Source organism: Homo sapiens, chromosome 2 (assembly GCF_000001405.40).
Source record: "Homo sapiens chromosome 2, GRCh38.p14 Primary Assembly".
Taxonomy (NCBI): domain Eukaryota; kingdom Metazoa; phylum Chordata; class Mammalia; order Primates; family Hominidae; genus Homo; species Homo sapiens.
The window spans coordinates 201,806,429-201,826,990 of NC_000002.12; the positions used below are offsets into that span (position 1 = coordinate 201,806,429).

The 20,562-nt window shown below is 39.5% G+C and overlaps 1 protein-coding gene and 1 pseudogene across 12 annotated transcripts in view; both read left to right on the top strand.

The window, feature by feature from the left end:
* CDK15 (cyclin dependent kinase 15) overlaps positions 1-20,562 on the top strand; it is an 89,122-nt gene continuing 68,560 nt past the window's right edge. For 6 of the 12 annotated variants that reach the window (XR_922991.3, NM_001366386.2, XM_011511652.2 and 3 more), the window contains exons 1-6: positions 109-359; positions 1,066-1,215; positions 1,430-1,524; positions 6,055-6,134; positions 16,381-16,475; positions 17,237-17,299. Coding sequence is in view for 11 of the 12 variants with exons in the window: in NM_001366386.2 (NP_001353315.1) it covers positions 237-359; positions 1,066-1,215; positions 1,430-1,524; positions 6,055-6,134; positions 16,381-16,475; positions 17,237-17,299 (606 nt within the window). In the remaining variant the exon portion in view is untranslated. Of the gene's footprint in view, positions 360-1,065; positions 1,216-1,424; positions 1,525-6,054; positions 6,135-14,937; positions 15,022-16,002; positions 16,130-16,380; positions 16,476-17,236; positions 17,300-20,562 lie in introns of those variants that run through there. The other 6 variants (NM_001261435.1, NM_001261436.1, NM_139158.2 and 3 more) reach the window with 5 other exon arrangements.
* On the top strand, positions 18,109-18,603 carry UBE2V1P11 (UBE2V1 pseudogene 11; annotated as a pseudogene).

The following is a 20,562-nucleotide window of genomic DNA, read 5'->3' on the forward strand; positions in this document are numbered from 1 at the left end:
CTGCCTCGTTTTCAGTTGTGCACATCTGAATGCAAGCAATCCCTGTCTGATGTGGAGTTTCTTGCACTGATAAGGAAAAACTGCTGAAGTTGTGAGGCTGCTCCAGGCAGAGCCATCATGTGAGTCATATGAAAGCTCCACGCTGCTGACCTCTGGCAAAAAGGGAGAGAACAAGGATAGGAGAGGCAGTGGGGGAAAGGTTCAAGTGCGGGTTTTCTCCTTGAACCTACAAGATTATGGGTCAAGAGCTGTGTGCAAAGACTGTACAGCCTGGATGCAGCTGCTACCATTGTTCAGAGGGAGGCGAGGCACACAGCTGTCGGAGGAGTCAGCCTGAGACCACGGAGGCTGCGTTCAAGGTATTTGTATCCCAGGAGAGAGCATCTTTCTCTATTGATAAACCAAGGAGTTCAGACACTCCCTTTTTGTAGCGGGATCTGATTCTTCTGCGGTAGGTCTAAACCAATAAAATGAAAATTCTATTAAAGTCACAGAAAATTTATGGCTGTAGTTATCAAATTTGGGGAATTTCTTGTAAACCAAAAGGGAAAAATAATCCTTGGCTTTGGGCTGCACGAAACTCACTTGGCTTGAAGTCGAGAAAGTAGTTCTCTCAAAATCTCTAAGGTCCTAAATTACAGAGCTGAAACTTAAAAGGCAAGCTGCAGTATTAGTTGGTATGCTATGGATTTGAAACTTTAGTAATTAGTTCATGATTATTAGCAATGCCATAGATTATTCCCCTACAGCAATAAATTAAGTGGACATGAAAAAAAAAAGCCAGACTTAAACAGAAAAAAGTTGCAAAACATCCATCAAAGAGATTTAGGTTAACCTGAATGTTAAAGACACATTTTTAGGTGAAGAAAGAATGTAGTATTTCAGGAGTTGATACCATTATGGTCTTTTTCAGGGATCTTTCAAGAAAAGTGCCTTTTGGGGGTACAGGAAGCTTAGAAAACATTTGAAGAGTGAAAATGAGGCAAATAAAGAAAAAATGGTTTTACCAGGCACTGAATCTTTACTTTGCATAAATTTTATTTCTGCTCTTTCTTTTTTCTCTAGCTAACAGACCTAAAAGAAGCATCATGTTCCATGACTTCATTTCACCCCAGGGGACTTCAAGCTGCCCGTGCCCAGAAGTTCAAGAGTAAAAGGCCACGGAGTAACAGTGATTGTTTTCAGGAAGAGGATCTGAGGCAGGGTTTTCAGTGGGTGAGTGAGCAGCTGATGTTGATCAAGAAGAATTTAATGTGAGCTTGTCTACGGAGGCCGGCCCTTGCTTCCAGGGCAATTACTGAGCGAGCCTTCCCAAGTCTGCTCTGGCAATGCTGTCTAATTTCCCTGGGGAAAAAAAGTCAACACTAAAAAAAAGTGTTCTTTCTCTCTTCCCTTTCACCCGCTCCTTTTCCCCATTCCCCTAGAGCAGAGGAAGAGCCTCCCTTTTGGGGCAGCCTCATCTTACTTGAACTTGGAGAAGCTGGGTGAAGGCTCTTATGCGACAGTTTACAAGGGGATTAGCAGGTGAGTGACACATAGCTGGGAGAGACTTTAGAGATGAGAGTCCCGCCCCCCCAATTTCATATTATAAAGCCAGGTGAGACATCATAGAAGTTCATAGCACTCAGGACCTGTGCAAGACACCATGGCCGACAGGGAGAGAGACATGATAACTTAAACAGCCTTGAAAGAAAAACAAACCTGCCCTGCCCTAATTAAAATCAGCCCACTTAAATGTTTATCAGCCTTTCCCTTCTTGCATTCAATTCAGAGAATTCAAAGAAAATAGACATTCTCTACTACTGACCCAAAGAACAATTATCACTCTTCAGGCCTGTGGGAGGCACAGTTGGTAAAGCGTCTCTAACAGGTTTTTTATATCCCTCCCTAAATCACAATGACAGAGGTTTGTAATGGCAACCTGGAATTTGCTGCTTCATTCCTCCACCTGGCCTTTATAGAAGAAACTGAAGTTGGTTTCTGCAAATTATGGTACATGCAAAAGATGATAAATCCTAGATTTTTTATATTTGCAAAATACACAAAATGTCTGGAGAATAAAAATACTGCTTATCCAAAAGCTAAGTACTAATTTTGGTAAACAACCAACTTTGTTAAATATATGTAAAAGATCCATGAATTCCCCTTTTAGTCAAGGTGGGAAAGTTGGATGGTCGCTTTTTTCTTTATGTTACTCCAATAGAGAGAAAAGTAATGGCTCAATAGTGGTTAAATATTAATTTTAAAAATATAGCTGATCCGAGTGCAGTGGTGTTTACAACTACTTGATCACAACCAGTTACAGATTTCTTTGTTCCTTCTCCACTCCCACTGCTTCACTTAACTGGCCAAAAACGAAAAAAGAAAAATTTTATATAACTACTACAAGACTAAATATTTATTATTTATCTTAGTATTTATGCTGTTATTATTATTTTTACTTGTTAAAACAGGATTGTAGGGGACATACAGTTTTATTTTATTTTATTATTTATATATTTATTTATTTATTTATTTTGGAATGGAATCTCTGTCACCCACGCTGGAGTGCAGTGGTGCGATCTCAGATGACTGCAACCTCTGCCTCCTGAGTTCAAGCAACTCTCCTGCCCCTGGCCCTTTATACTTTCTTAATCTGTTTTAGTCATGGTGTACCTTAACTTTTTTCAATGCTGAGAACATCTGCAATAAAGGACCACATTTTATTTTATTCTAAGCTTCCTCATATCAATTTGGCCATGGTAACTGTTTTCAAGGTGGCTCGGAACGGGGGCACCCTGGAACATACTTGGATACATGGGCACCATGGACACTTCTGATCCTCTCTTCTGAGTTCTGACTTTGATTGTTCTGCACAGACCTTTCCAGCCCGAAGTTTACACAGAATTCACTTATCTTTTCTTCTAGTTACTTTATGTTTTCTTTTTCATTTAACTCTTTCATCTACTGGGAATTTATATTGTATATTCACAATCACCCCAGCTCCATTTATTAGATTTTCTTTTCTCTGATGGTTTGAAATGCTGCCATGATTATATATTAGATCTCACGAATACTTGAAATTCTTTCTGTTCTAATCTTTTAAAAATCATGTTTCCTTAATCTATCTTTTCTTATATTTGTGCTGCATGATTTTAATTATTGTTGCTTTAGGCTATTTTTAGAATATATCAAAACTCTACGTTAGAGAATTATTGACATCTTTGCATTATTAGATTTTCTAATACAAATATCCTGTAAATATCTAATACAACAGTCTCTGGATGGTCACTGTACAAGACCCTATAGAATCCCTACCCTCCATTCCCCGGCACACACTCAGCTCCTCCCTGTCCTCATCTCCTTCCCCTCTCCTGCTTCAATGACAGACTGCTCCTGCCTCAGTCAAGGACTTTTAACTTGCTGTTCCCTCTGCCTGGAGCTGCCTTCCACTGTTCATGCACACAGCTGACTCCCCCTCGCCATCAGATTCCTGGTTCAAGTGTTACCTTATTTATAAAACTGTAGTCCCAGCTAGTCAGGAGGCTGAGGCAGGAGAATCACTTGAACTTTGGAGGCAGAGGTTGCAGTGAGCTGAGATCGGCACCACCGCACTCCAGCCTGGGTGAGAGTGACACTGTCTCAAAAAAAAAAAAAAGCATTTTCTCTTATAAACATATTTGCCAAAAAACTTTTTGCAGGGTTTGGGGGAGAATTTCACAGAACCATGTTCTGAGGAAAATACTTACCTCATAAAACTCTAAAACAAAATTTCAAAGACATGATAAGGCAAACAAAAGAAACTGGGGAAAAGTATATGCAAAATAGTTCAATAAAAAGGTGGGCAAATCGGCAAATCACAAGAAAAACAGAAAAGATCCATAAACTTATGAAAAGTCAGTTTCACATATGGTTAAAGAAATATAAATTAAAATGCGATAAACCTTTTTACTTTTCAAATAGGCCAAAAAAAAAAAGAAGATGAAAGCGAAAAGCCAACCCACATGATAGGGCTATGACAGAGGGACACAGGAGCCAACCGAAAGAGCTTCCAAAGGACAAAGCTGCAAAAATATGAGCAACCAAAAAAAGTGGTATTAAATTATAACCCAAAGTATAAAATAAATATCTATGAGTCCGTACTGATATAAATAAATGATTCAATACATTAACAAATGGGAGAGAAGAAACAAATCTCTCATGCCAAATAAATACAAATAATTTATGTAGATAATATACCTTCAAAGAGGTACAGCATAACTCTCCACTCCTTAAGTGTGGGTCATTCATAGTGGCATTTCTCTAAAAGTACAGTATGAAAAAGGGGGAGAAAGAGTAACTTTAGAGTAGAGAAACCTGACCAACACTATCTCAGACAGGTGACTAAGGTCAACATCAAAAGTCATAAATCATGATGATGGTATGCACTCTTTTTTTTTTTTTTTTTTTTTTTCTCAGATGGAGTCTCACTCTGTCGCCCAGGCTGGGGTGCAGTGGCGCAATCTCAGCTCACTGCAACCTCCGGCTCCCGGGTTCAAGCGATTCTCCTCTCAGCCTCCTGAGTAGCTGGGATCACAGGCGCGTGCCACCATACCCGGCTAATTTTTTGTATTTTAGTAGAGACGGGGTTTCACCATGTTGCCCAGGCTGGTCTCAAACTCCCGAGCTCAGGCAATCCACCCACCTCAACCTCCCAAAGTGCTAGGATTACAGGCATGAGCCACTGCGCCTGGCTGAGGGTATGCACTTTTTTTTTTTTTTGAGACGGAGTCTTGCTCTGTCGCCCAGGCTGGAGTGCAGTGGCACGATCTTGGCTCACTGCAAGCTCCGCCTCCCAGGTTCACGCCATTCTCCTGCCTCAGCCTCCCCAGTAGCTGGGACTACAGGTGCCCACCACCACACCCGGCTAATTTTTTGTATTTTTAGTAGAGACGGGGTTTCACTGTGTTAGGCAGGATGGTCTCGATCTCCTGACCTCCTGATCCACCGGCCTTCGCCTCCCAAAGTGCTGGGATTACAGGCGTGAGCCACTGTGCCCGGCCTGATGAAATGTTAAATCTTTATTAAATATCGGATTGTACAAGAATGAACTATAAGAGAAAAGTTACATGGAGGAAAAAAGGTTACTAACAATATGATTTTAATCCCACTGTATTAAAAACAATGGATTTATACCTGCATTAAAATCTTCTCTATTCTCAGCACTTAGCTGATATGAATAAAATGATGAATGAGGGGACAGTAGGAGGAAATGAAGAGAGAGAGAATAATGGTGTGGCCTGGGAAGATCAGGTAGCACTTAGAAGCCCGCTGCAAGAATTTGGCTTTTATTCTAAGTAATGCGTGGAGATATGGTGGCTTTTGAACAGAAAAGTGACTTGTCCTGATTGTCATTTGAAAAGTATGCCTCCAACTACTCTGCTGAGAGTAAATAGTAGGAGTGCAAGTGTCTCAGCAGGGAAACTGTTAGAAGACCACTACAAGGCTGGGCTTGGTGGCTCGTGCCTGTAATCCCAGCACTTTGGGAGCCTGACGTGGGCAGATCACCTGAGGTCAGGAGTTCGAGACCAGCCTGGCCAAAATGGTGAAACCCCCATCTCTGCTAAAAATACAAAAATTAGCCAGGTGTGGTGGGGGTCCCCTGTAATCCCAGCTTCTTGGGAGGCTGAGGCAGGAGAATTGCTTGAACCCAGGAGGTGGAGGTTGCAGTGAGCCAAGATCGTGCCACTGTACTCCAGCCTGGGCAACAGAGCGAGATTCTGTCTCAAAAAAAAAAAAAAAAAACAAAAAAACAAAAAAACACTACAATAAGTCAGATGAAAAATAATAATAAGCTCCAAATTTTCTATAATGGACATATATATATATATCACTTTAGTAAAGAGGGAAAATGCTTTGGAATATATATGTTATATATGTATTGATACATGTTAAACTTTTTATTTTGAGAAAATTATAGATTTATATGCTAGAATATATTTTGAAGTGAAAGTGCTTTTGTTAAGCCATCTTTGGTATAAATTGCTGCTTTGAACCACCTCAATAAGTGTGTGCCCCTCAATCCCTCTCTTCTAGAATAAATGGACAACTAGTGGCTTTAAAAGTCATCAGCATGAATGCAGAGGAAGGAGTCCCATTTACAGCTATCCGAGAAGGTAAGAACAGCAGAAATGGACCCAATAGATCTGTTTTGAGTCCTTGATTTGGTAAAAAATGTATTGCATTGATCCATTCAGCATCTAGTTTTGATTCTTCTGGAATACTATAATTACATTTTTATTTTTCATACAAGTTTTTCAAGAAATTTACACTGCTATTTTATTACTTAATTTTGAGGAAATTGAGATTTAAAACTATTATATCACTTGACCAAAACTATAAATTCACTGAGCAATTACTAATACTTTCCATGTGTTTGGCCTCATGCTAGGTGCTAAGGCTATACCTATATAACCTCAGAAAATTCCTATAAAAGAGAAAATATATAATCACACAAATTCTTACTGGGAAATTTGCCTGAACATAACATGTTGTTAGCTAGCACTTGGAGATTCTCCAGAAGGCATGCATGTTTAGTGTTCTGCCTGTATTTTCTCTGTGCCCTGGACAGTACAGCAAATGGGTGAGGAACCTGGTGTCAAATGGACTTGGGTTTGCAGCACAGGTCCACCAATCACTAGTGGTATGATGTTGGGTAGGTTACTTTAGCTATTTATTACTCAGTTTCTTGCAGGAAGAGGATAATAGTGGTACCTATTTCATGGAGTTGTTATGAGTATTCAACAAGAATATGTATATAAAGCACTTATCACAGAGTCAGTTTTTCAGAGTTCAACAAATGTTGACCATTTTTATTCCATTCTTCTTTTCCTGGGTAATGTCTTATTTACCATCAAGATAACTAATACTTTATAACATAAACATCAAGAAGCCAACATAGTGAAATGAATCATTAAAAATATAATTTATCAACCTTTATTGCATGAGCCATTTGAAATAAGATGATGATAGGATTGCTATGCATTTCAGCAAAATCCCAGAGAAATGGCACTTCCCTGGCCTTATTTTCTCCCACTTTTAACTACTTATCTTCTGTTCTTTACTGAGCACATGCTATATGCAGAGTATGCTGCTGGATGCTGTGAAGGATGAGAAGAGAAACCCATGTCTTTGTTCTATCATTTGCAGTCTTAACAGAGCACATGATTCAAGTTACAAGTGTATAAAAGACATAAACTAAGATGAGAGCAAGTTAGTCTCAGTGTGACTGATGGAGTCACTAGATTTTGAACTGAGCTTGGAAGGATAGGTTATGCAAACAAGCATGGAAAAAGCAATTCAGAAAATGAGTTTATAACTGAATTTGATACCCTTTTCAAAAGTCTTTCAGAGCCCCTGAGGAATACATCATTTTGAATTTAATTGGAAGGGCCAAATGGGCTATTGGTTTAGCCAGAGATTCATCCTGGTAGGATCAGGTGCATTCTGGGAGAAGGCATGGTTTTAAGTGTTTAATATAATGGAAACTGCATTAACTAATGTACTTATTAATGGTCTCCATGAAAGGATGATCAGATTTGGAAAGAGATGTATGGATAGGTTAAAGAGTATTTGTGAACGTAATAGAAATTCCCAGGTCACCCGCATAAGAGGAAGGTTTCCTTTGTGAGCTTGAGTTTGCCAATTGCTTAAGATTGGCTTTGCTTAGATATTGCCCACAGCCAAGTTTTTCAGGTTGACATTTAACTGTAACAGTGAAACCTTTTGCCAGGTTTGCTAACAGATGGTTCTCAGCATGGTTCAGAAAACCTGGATCCGTTTTCTTCTGTATGCTAAATGTTTCTTTCATTGCATATTTACGGAGGAATTGCCTCTCCATCACAGGTGTTTACAATTACATTTAGTAGTCAACTGTGGACTTTCTTGGTTTGTTTTATGGACTTACCTTACCGAATGCTTTGCTCGTGTAATATTAAAAACCACAAGAGGATTTCTGACACATTGGAGGTTGTTAGGAATCCAATTTCCAACAATGAATGTTTCTTTTTACACCACTATAAAAGCTTGGAGCCCTTGTTAAAAGAGCCCTCTCCCCTCAAGAAGATATGAGGCTTTATTCGAAAACTTTGGCACTGTCCCATTTTTCCTGTAAGAACTTTAAGGATGTGAGACCAGGGAGACAGGAGGTTAAATGAGAAGGGCTGGAAGGCAAAGTAAGAACAGCTGGAGTTCATTAGCTAAAATCCAGGGTCACTAGCTAAAAAGGCAACCGAAAGGCACGTGCAGGAAAACTGAACAAGTAATGCAGCCCTCTTTAAAAAGCCTTGAAGCAGGAATTGCTTTTCCTGAACAATTTGGCTGCCCTGATGGTATAGCAGCCAAAGATTTATTAAGTATGATTTTACTACATATATGGTCTCTTTCTATACAGGTAGAATACATGTGGCAATTTACTAGTCTGGTCATTTGGAGTACTATTTTCATTTGACCTTAACATGTGATATTATGAAACTAGCAAAAGTATGAACAGCACTAAGGAACATTTTTTTTTTTTTTTTTTTGAGACGAAGTTTTGCTCTTGTTGCCCAGGCTGGAGTGCAATGGCACAATCTTGGCTTACTGCAACCTCTGCCTTCGGGGTTCAAGCAATTCTCCTGCCTCAGCCTCCGGAGTAGCTGGGATTACAGGCATGTGCCACCACACCCAGCTAATTTTGTATTTTTAGTAGAGACAGGGTTTCCCCATGTTGGCCAGGCTGGTCTTGAACTCCTGACCTCAAGTGATCTGCGTGTCTCAGCCTCCCAAGGGAAATATATCTTAATACATGTGTCAGTGCTTTTCATACTTCTTTCAATCCTCTTAACAATCTTTAGAGATAGATATTATTAATATTATTCCACTATATGGTGGTGATTCAAACCAAATCTCTCTGATTCAAAAATTCATAGGCTTTCTACGCACCCACTGTAGAAATATTCATTTAGCACCTACTATGACCAGGTACTCTGCCGAACTGCTAGATACACAGCAATACACAAAATAGATGTGTTCCCTACCACCCTCATTCCTTTGCTAATTAAGAAAAGCAGAGGCCTTCATAGTGCCTTGGAAATCTCTCATAATTGACTCTAGAATTGTATTTTAAGTGTTGATTTTTACAACTAGGAGGAAATACTTTCATTTGAATAGGCTAATGTGTTATGTTTTTACATAGTACAACATTTCTTAGTTTTATGAAACTTTATAGCAATATCTTAATATAATGTGCATTGTTTTAAATATTTTTGTTCAAGTGGTCAACTTTTGGTTTAAACTGAGGACTTTCAGCCTGTTAATAGCATTTTTCTTAGGAAGGAGTCATATAACTAATCTTTTTTGAGGACAAGGCATATGACATAATCTCCCCCTTCCCCTACATAATGTATATTTTTAAAACCTTTATACCAACCCTAGGAAGTAAAATGTGCTATTTTTGTTGTAGAGATAAAGAAATTCTAGCCTCAGAGAGGTTAGTTAACTTGTCTGAGGTCACAGAGATAGTAATCAGAGTTGTTAGAATCCATTTCTATTCTATTTAAAATCCCTTCTACTTTATTATGATGAATTTGGAAATGCTTAACTAAAGTATTTATTGTTTAGCAACAGTAAAAATAAAAATAGAAATCTGTTTTTATTATACATTTTATATAAACATTAAGGAAAATGCAGAAGAAGTATTTTTTTAATCTTTAATTTTAGATTCAAGGGGTACATGTCCAGGTTTGTTACATGAGTATATTGCATGATGCTGAGGTATCTTGTCACCCAAATAGTGAGTATAGTACCTGATAGGTAGTTTTTCAACCCGTGTCCCTCTCCCTTCCTCTCCCCTTTTGGAGTCCCTGGTGTAGTGTCTATTATTCCCATCTTATGTCTGTGTGTTCCCAATACCCCCAGTTATTAGCTTTCACTTGTAAGTGAGAACATGTGGTATTTGTTTTCTGTTCCTGGGTTAATTCACTTAGGATAATGGCCTCCATCTGCATCCATGTTGCTGCTAAGGAAATGGTTTTTTTTTTTTTTTTTTTTTTTTGTGGCTGCATAGTGTTTTATGGTGCCAGTGTACAAATTTTCTTTATCCAATCCACCATTGCTGGGCACCTAGGTTGAGTCCATGTCTTTGCTATTGTGAATAGTGCTGTGACGAACATAAAAGTCTAGGTGTCTTTTTGACAGAACGATTTATTTTCCTTTGGGTATATACCCAGGAATGGAATTGCTGGGTCAAATGGTAATTCTGTTTTTGGTTTTTTTGAGGCAGGAGATGGGACTCGACTCCAGAGATGGGGCTTGAACACTAAACCAAATTTAGGACTAGCCAAAACAGGGCCTGGGGGGAGGCAGCTTTCCAGAAGACACACCCACCAGTGTGCCATGTCAGTTTACCATTGCCATGGCAACACCTGAAAGTTACCACCCTTTCCCGTAGCAACAACCTGACAACCTGGAATTACCACTCTTTTCCTAAAACTTTCTGCATAAACTGCCCCTTAATTTGCATATAACTAAAAGTGGGTATAAATATAACTGTAGAGCTACCTATGAGCTGCTACTCTGGGCACACTGCCTATGTGGCAGCCCTGCTCTGCAAGGAGAGGTACACCCGCTGCTGCTGAACACTGCTGCTTCAATAAAAGCTGCTGTCTAACACCACAGGCTCACCCTTGAATTCTTTCCTGGGTGAAGCCAAGAACCCTCCCAGGCTAAGCCCCAGTTTTGGGACTTGCCTGCCCTGCCTCACTTTGAGAAATTTCTAAACTGTTTTCCACAGTGGCTGAACTAATTAACATTCCCACCCACAGTGTATAAGCACTCCCTTTTCTTCTCAAGCTTACCAGCATCCATTAACTTTTTACTTCTAAATAATAGCCTTTTTGACTGGTGTGAGATGGTATCTCATTGAGGTTTTGATTTGCATTTCTCTGATGATTCGTGATGTTGAGCAATTTTTTCATATGTTTGTTGGCCACTTGTGTGTCCAAAAGAAATATTTTAAAGAAAATAATACATCATGTTGTATATTCATCAATTCTGATTCTATCATTGATTCTACAGTGCCGGTAATTGCAGTGTTTAAATTAGAAACAGTCTCAGCTAAGAATCTTTTAAGATCATTCTCTAGTAGAAAAACATTACAAAGTAATGATTCCCAATCCATATATGAGAAAACTGAGCCAAAAATAGGCTAAGGAGCCTCCCTAAGGTCATACAATGAGGCAGGGGAGGAGGCTGATTAGAACTTCTGAATTGCCAATGACCACAAATAGTCTAGGGTAGGCCTGGTTGACAGAAAGTCTGCCATTGAACACCATCATATCACATGACAAATACAGCAAATTCATTGTGCATAGTTACGTCTTTATAAAACAAAATAATGCCAGGATAATGGTATGTGATCAGCATTACAATTCCAAAGATACCAAGACAACTACTTATCTGACACTTGTCTTAGTATTTCTCTAACATTTATCTAAAATTATTTCAATTATTTCTTTTCTCGGAATGCATAACTTGACTCATTGACTTGATTTATGATTCTCAGATCAAAGGAAATGTAACAACAGGGTCTAGAAACACTTTTTTATTCAATGTCCAATGAGGGTTGGGGAGGACTCCATCATTGACTCATTATATAATTCCTCATAAACTCATTACAATTGGCCTGGCTTTCATTAATTCATGAGCACTTATTGAGCACCACATGCCAGGCCTGTGCTAGTGCTGGAGATGCAAAGACAAGGGCAAGTTCAATCCATGCCCTCAATGAGTTTACAGCCTAAAGACGACTTTGACTACCAGGCCTTCATTACATAGAGCGACATCCTAGGACTTGGAGAATCAGCTTTCCTCTGGAGCCTTAAAGACATCCCTATTTACTTTTGTGTCTTTTCTTTGAAGAAAAACAAAAATAAGTATACATAGGATACATTAATAATAAAAAAACAGTATTTTATGAGACTCAGAATGCTAATTTTAGGATCTTTGCCCTTCTCAGTTGACTTTTGTGTCCCTCAACTGTTTAGTCTGCAGGACAGATATCACATCCTGCTGTGCAGTTTATAAAATGTCCTTAAAATTAGAAGAAAGAAAGACCTTGTCTTCCTGGGTTTAAGACCCACACATCTGAGGCTGTAGGCATTTCAGATCCCTCTGGTGGATGGACCAAAATGATAAACAATACTGTGAGATAAATGCTTTAAACATCATCTGCTCTTTCATCTGAATTCCCTATTCATTATTCGGCAACATTCACAGTTTTCATATAACGATTTCAGTAGTTCTAGGGCACCAGAAAAGCAGTACTAGGAATGGCCATAAAGCATAGAATATTTATAATCTAATGAGGGAGACAACTAAAAGAAAGAAGGAATAAAAGCATCTTCAACAGAAACACCCTTTACCAACCAACTAGAGGTATAGAAATGATATTAGGTAATTAGTGACCACTAATTTAAAGATAAATATTTATTGAGTGCCAGACATTGTTCCAGGCACTGAGTATATAGCAATAAGCAAAAAAAACAAAACAAAACAAAACAAAAGTGCCCACTCTCAATGGAGTTTATATTCTCAATTGTGGAGACAGACAATAAACAAATATTTATATATAAAATGTCAGATGGTGGTGACAGGCACTATGGAAAAGAATAAAGCAGGGCCCAGAGAGAGAGGGTAGGATGGGGTAGAGGTGGGATGGGGTGGAGGGCTGCTGAGGTGGGATGGAGTAGAGGGCTGCTATCTCACCTAGAATGGTCAAGGAAGTCTGCACCTATATGTATCACTTGAGCGGAGGCTCTGAAGAAAGTGAGGGAGGATGAAGGCAGAGAGGTGAGAAGAGAGGATTACAGGAAAAGACATTGGCAAGTGTAAAATCCTGGGGTGGAAATGTGTTTGCAAGTGTGTCTAAGGAACAGCTAGGAGGCCAGTGAGGCTAAAGCCAAGTGAGCAAAGATGGGAGTGTGAGGAGATGACAGGTCACGATGGGCACAGCCAACAGTAGGGTGGGCAGGAAATCGCAAGTCCTTTGAATTTACTCTGCAGGAGATGAGAGGCCACTGGAGGGTTTGGAACCAGGAGGCACATGCCCTAACTCATTTGAGAAGGATAGCAGTGTCTGGCTGTCCTGTGAAGAAGTGGCCATAGGAGGAAAGCAGGGAAGCAGGCATTTGCAATAATTCAGCCAACATATGATAGTGGCTTGGTCCAGGGTGCTGGCAGAAGATATGGCAAGGGAGGGGTTCTGGACAATTTGGAAGGTAATGCCAATAGATTTGTATGTGATAAAAAGTTGAGAGGACTTGACGTGTACGAGTGGTTAATCTTCATAAAATGGATGAATGGTTAAAAAGATTTCCGCAAAGAAACTGTGGGTTGAAGGTAAAACTAGTAACTCCAATGTAAGTGAACAACAGAGAAATACAAAACAGACATTTTTCCTACTCCTACAAAAACTGTAATTATCAAGAAGATGACATGAAGTTTATACCCAGTATTGTTAGCAGGAAGCCTCATTCCAAGTAGATATTTTTCCTTGGCCATTTTAGCAAGTGAGAGCATGAGGCCATCATAATGAACAAATCATGCCATCATGATTTAAAAAGAAGCATCTGGAGTTTTAGTAATATAGTTAGGTGAGACTAAAATTATACTAAACATAAAATTAAAATATCTTAACAATATTCTTAGCAATTTCAGCTTTACCATATCCTTTTGAAATCTAATTTTGCTATATGCTTTGTAACATAGGGGTGGGGGAAAGAGAGAAATTTATGAGATAATTTATAAATAAAAATACACCTAAAGTATAAGCATTCTCAACTGATGGTCAGAAAATATGGAAGGTATTCAAAACTCTAGCAGAAACATACCATAAACAAGATTTTAAGACTGAAAGTAGACGTTTAGTGGGGTTCAGGGTGAAAGGCAGGGGCAAGAAGCTGGCAAGAAGAGGGAAGGGATACTAATTCTAATTTGCCTCTGTAATGCTTTACATTTACCAAGGTTCCACAAATGGTATCTGATTCCATCCTCATATCAACCCTATGAAGTAAGTCAGAAAAGACGATGTCTCTTTTCCTAAGGAATGAATTGAGACTTAGGTTGAGATACTCTCCAGAGCTTACTCAGATAGGAAGTGACAGGGCCAGGATTCATATTAGGGCTTCTGGCTCCACAGACAGTTCTCCTTAAGACTTTCAATAAATATGTTTGACAAATTAAGTGCTTACTCTCGGCTGAGTGTGGTACTAGGTGGTGTGGCAGCATCTCAAAAAGGGGGAAAGTCACTCCCTCAATTCCCATGTGGCCTTCAGTCTGAGACTAGGGAGATTAAACAGATGCCTGAGAAGCTGTTTATTACATTTACAAAGCAACACATTTGTCAAAGTGAAATAATAAATTTAGCCCATAAGGACTCTGGGGGCAAAAAGTAAAAATTAAGGCATTAGTCATTACAGCAAATAAGGTTAACAGGTGTGATGGAGCTCCTTCGGCGTAAGTCAGCTTAAATTGACAAGTAAAGAGAGAAATTCACTGGCTCACAGATCTGATAACTACAGGCTGGTAGGGCATAAGCAATATCATCAGGAAGCCGTGTCTCTCATTACCCAACACTGGTTTGCTGTGCATTCATTTTATTCCCAGGCATGTTGTCACCAGGTGTTGGTAATCTGACCCCAGCAACTCCTGGCTAAATCCCACAGGTTTAGCTCTCACAATAGAAAAGAAAGCACTTCTTTTCTAATGGCACCAGCAAAACAGGGCTCTGCCAAACTTGGGTTTTGTGCCTGTCTCTGAACCAATCACTAGGGATAGGGGAGTGCCGTGCTCTGATTGGCCAGCCCTGGGTCATATGCCCATTCTTGGGTAGAGGCCGGGTCAGTTCCACCAGATGAGCATGGTCTGAGGAAGAAGACGGTTGTTTTTCCAGGGGAAAATAGAAGTGCCCCCGCTAGAAGGGAGAATGGCTGTCAGGAGGGCAAAACGACAGATTCACTAAAATAGGTTGATGCCTAAAGAAAATAATTTTATTCCTAAATTTAAGGGAGTATTTCAGTTGTTTTTAATCTTATGGAATTCTACACTGGGAGGGAGTTGGTGCAGGAGATTCATGATATGCAGGCATAGGCTACAGAATAATGCTTTGAGTTTTTATCCTTTACTTTTCCTTTCCTTTAAGCTTTAAAGACACGATTTCTTCATGCAGGGTTGCCCTGAGGTGAGCCTCATCATCTCTTTTTTTTGAGATGGAGTCTCGCTCTGTCACCCAGGCCAGAGTGCAGTGGTGCAATCTTGGCTCACTGCAACCTCCACCTCCCAGGTTCAAGTGATTCTCTTGCCTCAGCTTCCCGAGTGGCTGGGATTACAGGTGTGCACCACCAGGCCCCACCACGCCCGGCTAATTTTTGTATTTTTAGTAGAGACGGGGTTTCACCGCGTTGGCCAGGCTGGTCTCAAACTCCTGACCTCAGGTGATCCACCCACCTCGGCCTCCCTGAGTGCTGGGATCACAAGCATGCGCTACCACGCCCGGCCTCATGGTCTCTTTATTGTACCTTTTCTAGTCTCTGCTTTCCTGAAGCCAGAGGTCTTCCTATCTCCAGAAGCTCCAAAGACACACTTTCAAACCCCTCCCAGTCACTTGGCCTTTTGTGATGACTTCTTTCCTTCAAGGCTGCCTTTAGTAACCGATTATTGAAGAGGCAAGAGAAAGCCCTCAGCCTTCTCCACTTTCACCTCCCTGGGCTCCCCAAGTTTGGCCGACTCCTCTTTTCAAGTTCACATTTTCTCCTTTCCACAGAGGTTTGCAACATTACCTTTAAGAAATCATCTCCAGTCTCTATCATGTTTCAACAGTTCTTTACCCCATGCTTTTATCCCTGTCTCCCACCAATCATATCCACCGGCCCTATTGACCGCTTGTGGGAGTTAGAATTTTGGAGACTGGTCATATGTCACAAAGTCCTGCTCTAGAAGGCAGAACACTCCATTTCCTGCTCCTCCAAAGCCCTTTATCTCTCCAGGCCTCTCCTCCTGTAGCTCTGAAGCTGGATTGATGAGATTCCCAGAGGGGAGCATTTAGTGCTCTGAGTGCTTTGATGAAATTGATTAGGTAAATGGAAACATATTTTTTGCAACCACTCTAGCCTGTAGAAACAATAAGTTGCAATGATTTGCCATTTTTGAAATAATGAAGGTTCTTTGTAATTTTAAATATTCTTTTGCCACAAGAGATTGTTTTCCAGCAGTAAAATAACCAGAATGTTTGATTTGAAATGTTGAAAAAATATATACCGTCTGATATCTTTAGAGCAGCACTTTCATTATCAATGATGGATTTAACATTTTGTTTAATTTTTCTAGCTTCTCTCCTGAAGGGTTTGAAACATGCCAATATTGTGCTCCTGCATGACATAATCCACACCAAAGAGACACTGACATTCGTTTTTGAATACATGGTGAGTTGTTCGAGCATTTTACAACACTTGAGAAAAATAACCTGGTACTTGTATAATGAATCTGTTAATATTTTATGGCATGATAAAACTTTTATTATAATGTGAAAAGTATCATGGAAATTTTCATTATTGTGATTAGTAGAACCTTATTGTTCCCACATCCATCTTTGGTCCTGCTTCCTTACCCATGACTTTTGCTGTCCCTTTTCCCCTCATCAGCAATAATAAATGAGGATCTTGAGTTTACCTTCTAAATAAAACTTTTGCACTTATTTTTAATCTAATTTTAATCACTATCTGAGCAGAATCCAACATTTTTTCATTGACAATAAAGGTAAAAATCACAAGATATTTAAAAATTGTATGCAAGCTTGCTAAAGAATAACTCATGTTGTATTTTTGGAAGAAAAAATATTTAAATAAGTAGAAAGAACTTATAAGGTATGTGTACTTGACTTGCCTCCAAGGACACTTGGAGAGTGAAAAATTCCTGCGTCGTTGTGTTCAGTGCCAGTCATTTAAAATGAGCATCTCTGTGCTGAGAAACAGGCTTTGTTCTAAGAACAGCCAGTTAGAAAGACACACTGTGTTTGACCTTAACAGTGGGTTCTCAGAAAACCTGGTTATATTCCTTTTGCACCTTATTCTTAAAATTCTGTACTTCGTAATACCTTCTGACAGTCAAGTCAATGTTCTGCTTTAGGATGCTATCTAAGCACCACTAAATTCACTCACTTCTCTTTCTCCGCTGTTTTATTTAGCACACAGACCTGGCCCAGTATATGTCTCAGCATCCAGGAGGGCTTCATCCTCATAATGTCAGAGTGAGTACGTTAAGGGTCAGGACCCTCTCCTGGCTTGCCCACAGAAGGAGAATTCTGAAACAGACTGTCTCACAAAGCAAAGTCCTATGATACTAAATAAGAGGATGGACATCACTGATATTCCAGAAAAAAGTTTTGTTTTGTTTTCGTTTTTGTTTTTTTTTAAAAAGGAAAGAAAAAAGAAAAAGAGTTGCTGAGTTGCTTCTTAAGATATGGAGCAATGTTTTCTGAGCAACCTAATGCTGTCAGTCATGGCTACATGCAAATGTGCCTTTAGATGAATAAACGAGTGAAGGAGAATTATACTAAAAGGAAAAAAGTAAAGCTAGGCCATCAAAAAATAAATACCTTCTTCATATCAGATTACTGTGGTCTAAGGTGAAGTCTGCAATACTTGTACTAGCAGATCCTATTATATATGTGGCCCTAACTCCCATTTTTCCAGTCATTAGAATCGAAATAATAAACTCTTAATTAGCTATAATTCTACATCTGTTATAAATTTTAGAAACCATTTATATTTCATACTTTTCATTCCCTAAGGTTTTATTGGCATTAATTAATTGATTGGCTCTTAAAATAACCGTATGAAATTTGTATATGATGTATTTATTCATTTAACTAATATTTATTTATGTATTCATTTATTCATTAATTTAAGAAATATTTATTGAGTACTTATTGCTGTAATAAGTTCTGGGGTTTCAATAATGAATAAGTTCTGTTTCTTATTTTCAATGAGCTTAAAGTCCAGTAAGATATATGAACTTAAATAGGCAGTGAGGGCCAGTCTTCAAGCAACAGCAATGCAAGATGGCAGCCACCATGGGCTCAGGCAATTTATGAAAGCCAAATATACAGCCTTAAAATAGAATGTGGACCTAAATACCCAGAAGAACTCCCCTTTGTAAGATTTGTAACAAAAATTAATATGAGTAGAGTTAATAGTTCTAATGGAATGGTGAACCCAAGAGCCATATCAGCGCTAGCAAAATGGCAGAATTCATATATCATCAAAGTTATCCTTCAAGAGCTTCAGCGCCTAATGATGTCTAAAGAAAATGTGAAACACCCTCAGCCATCTGAAGGACAGTGTTACAGCAATTGATCAAAAAGAAAAACCACAGGCCCTTCCCCTTCCCCCATACTTGATGTAAGCAGTCTTCATTTTCCATAGTAGTAAATTTTCTAGATACAGCTTGTAGAGCTCAAAGTACTGGAAAGAAAGCTCCCATTCAAAGGAAATTTATCTTAAGATACTGTAAATGATACTAATTTTTGTACATTTGGAATATATAAGTTGTTAGCCTGGCGCGGTGGCTCACGCCTGTAATCCCAGCCCTTTGGGAGGCCAGAGTGGGCAGATCATGAGGTCAGGAGTTTGAGACCAGCCTAGCCAACATGGTGAAACCCCGTCTCTACTAAAGATACAAAAAATTAGCCAGGTGTGGTGGCGCACACCTGTAACCCCAGCTGCTCGAGAGAGTGAGGCAGGAGAATTGCTTGAACCCAGGAGGCAGAGGTGCAGCGAGCAAAGATCACACCAATGCACTGTAGCCTGGATGACAGGGCAAGACTCCAACTCAAAAAAAAAAAAAAAAAAGAAATATGTAAGTTGTGCTATAACAAATAAATAGGCAGTGAGAAGCAAAGTGCTAAAGCCTATGACCATGGTAACTAGGAATACTGTGGGAACACATAATAAGGGAACCTAACCCAGTCCTGGAAGTAAGGTTTTGGAAAGGAATGTTTGAGGACAAAGGGTTAAAGAGAGTGAAAAAAAAAAATTAAAATACCAGTTAGCTGTGTGGAGAATGGGATAGGGAGCTAACTAGAGAAATCAAATAGGAATGTTTCATGGTATGTTAAGGACCCTGGTAAGGGTGAAGACCATTACATTATCTGCACCATCGCGGGACTTTTTTTTTATGGTAATGCTTGGCAATTTAAATAGAGGAGCAGAGAATGTAGACAGTTGGATTGAGTCAGAGTTGAAGTTCTGCCAGACATGTGAAAGGAAGAGACAGGTAGGCAAGAGAGTTGAAGAGATTATCAAGACAGAAGTTAATGTGCTGGCCAGTGGCATCTAGTCTGAGTCTAATCTGAGGGAAGGAAGTGAAGATAAGCAGCTTGCTGATAGTTATGAAGAGAGTGGAAGGCTTCAAGGACCTACAGGTGTTGATTAAATAGAAGAATGATTGGAGAAAGAATAACTGTGAGAGAGTGAGATTTTCAGGCTTGAGTGACTCTCACATACCAGACACTGTGCTAAATGCTTCAAAGACATGATCCCTGCCCTCAAGGGACTTACAGCCAAAAACAAGAGATAAGAAATACACACCAATACTATTATAGGACACTTGTGTAGAATATCAAGAAAGAAATACGATCTAGTACTGTAGATGTGCAACGGCATCAAAGATATCTTCTAGTTTCAAGAAGTTTCAGATCGGCCGGGCGCAGTGGCTCACGCCTGTAATCCCAGCACTTTGGGAGGCCGAGGCGGGTGGATCACAAGGTCAGGAGATCAAGACCATCCTGGTTAACACGGTGAAACCCCGTCTCTACTAAAAATATAAAAAATTAGCCAGGCGTGGTGGCGGGCGCCTGTAGTCCCAGCTACTCAGGAGGCTGAGGCAGGAGAATGGCGTGAACCCGGGAGGTAGAGTTTGCGTGAGCCGAGATCGCGCCACTGCACTCCAGCCTGGGCGACAGAGTGAGACTGCGTCTCAAAAAAAAAAAAAAAAAAAAAAAGTTTCAGATCTTAAACACACTGCATTTCAACAGTCTAGAATAGGAGAGCATGTTACAGGGAGAGAAAATGTTTTCAGCAAAGGTACAGAGTAGGGAAATAGAGGATATGTTCAAGGAAGAGGACCCCAGAGTCATGGTTTGTTAGGGTTAGAGGAAACACAGTGTTTTGCAATCTCCAGGTTCCATTAGTGCGTTATGAAATCAATATGGTGGTTAGCAACCTGCATTTTAAAAAATGAAATAAATGGATGAGAAGAGAATAGAAAATATTAGCATGCATTACATTTTGAAAGAGCAAGTATTATTTTCTGCAACTTTTGCTCCAATTGTAACTGTACTTATATTTTTATGTATGGATGTGAATACCAGATACATATATATTTCTTACTGTAGACTGCAGTCAAAAAATCTTTAAAGCACTGGCCTGGTCTAACTTCCTTATTTTGCAGAGGAGAAATCCAAGATCTGAGAGGACAAACATTTTGCCTGAGGTTATAGAACCAGCTTAT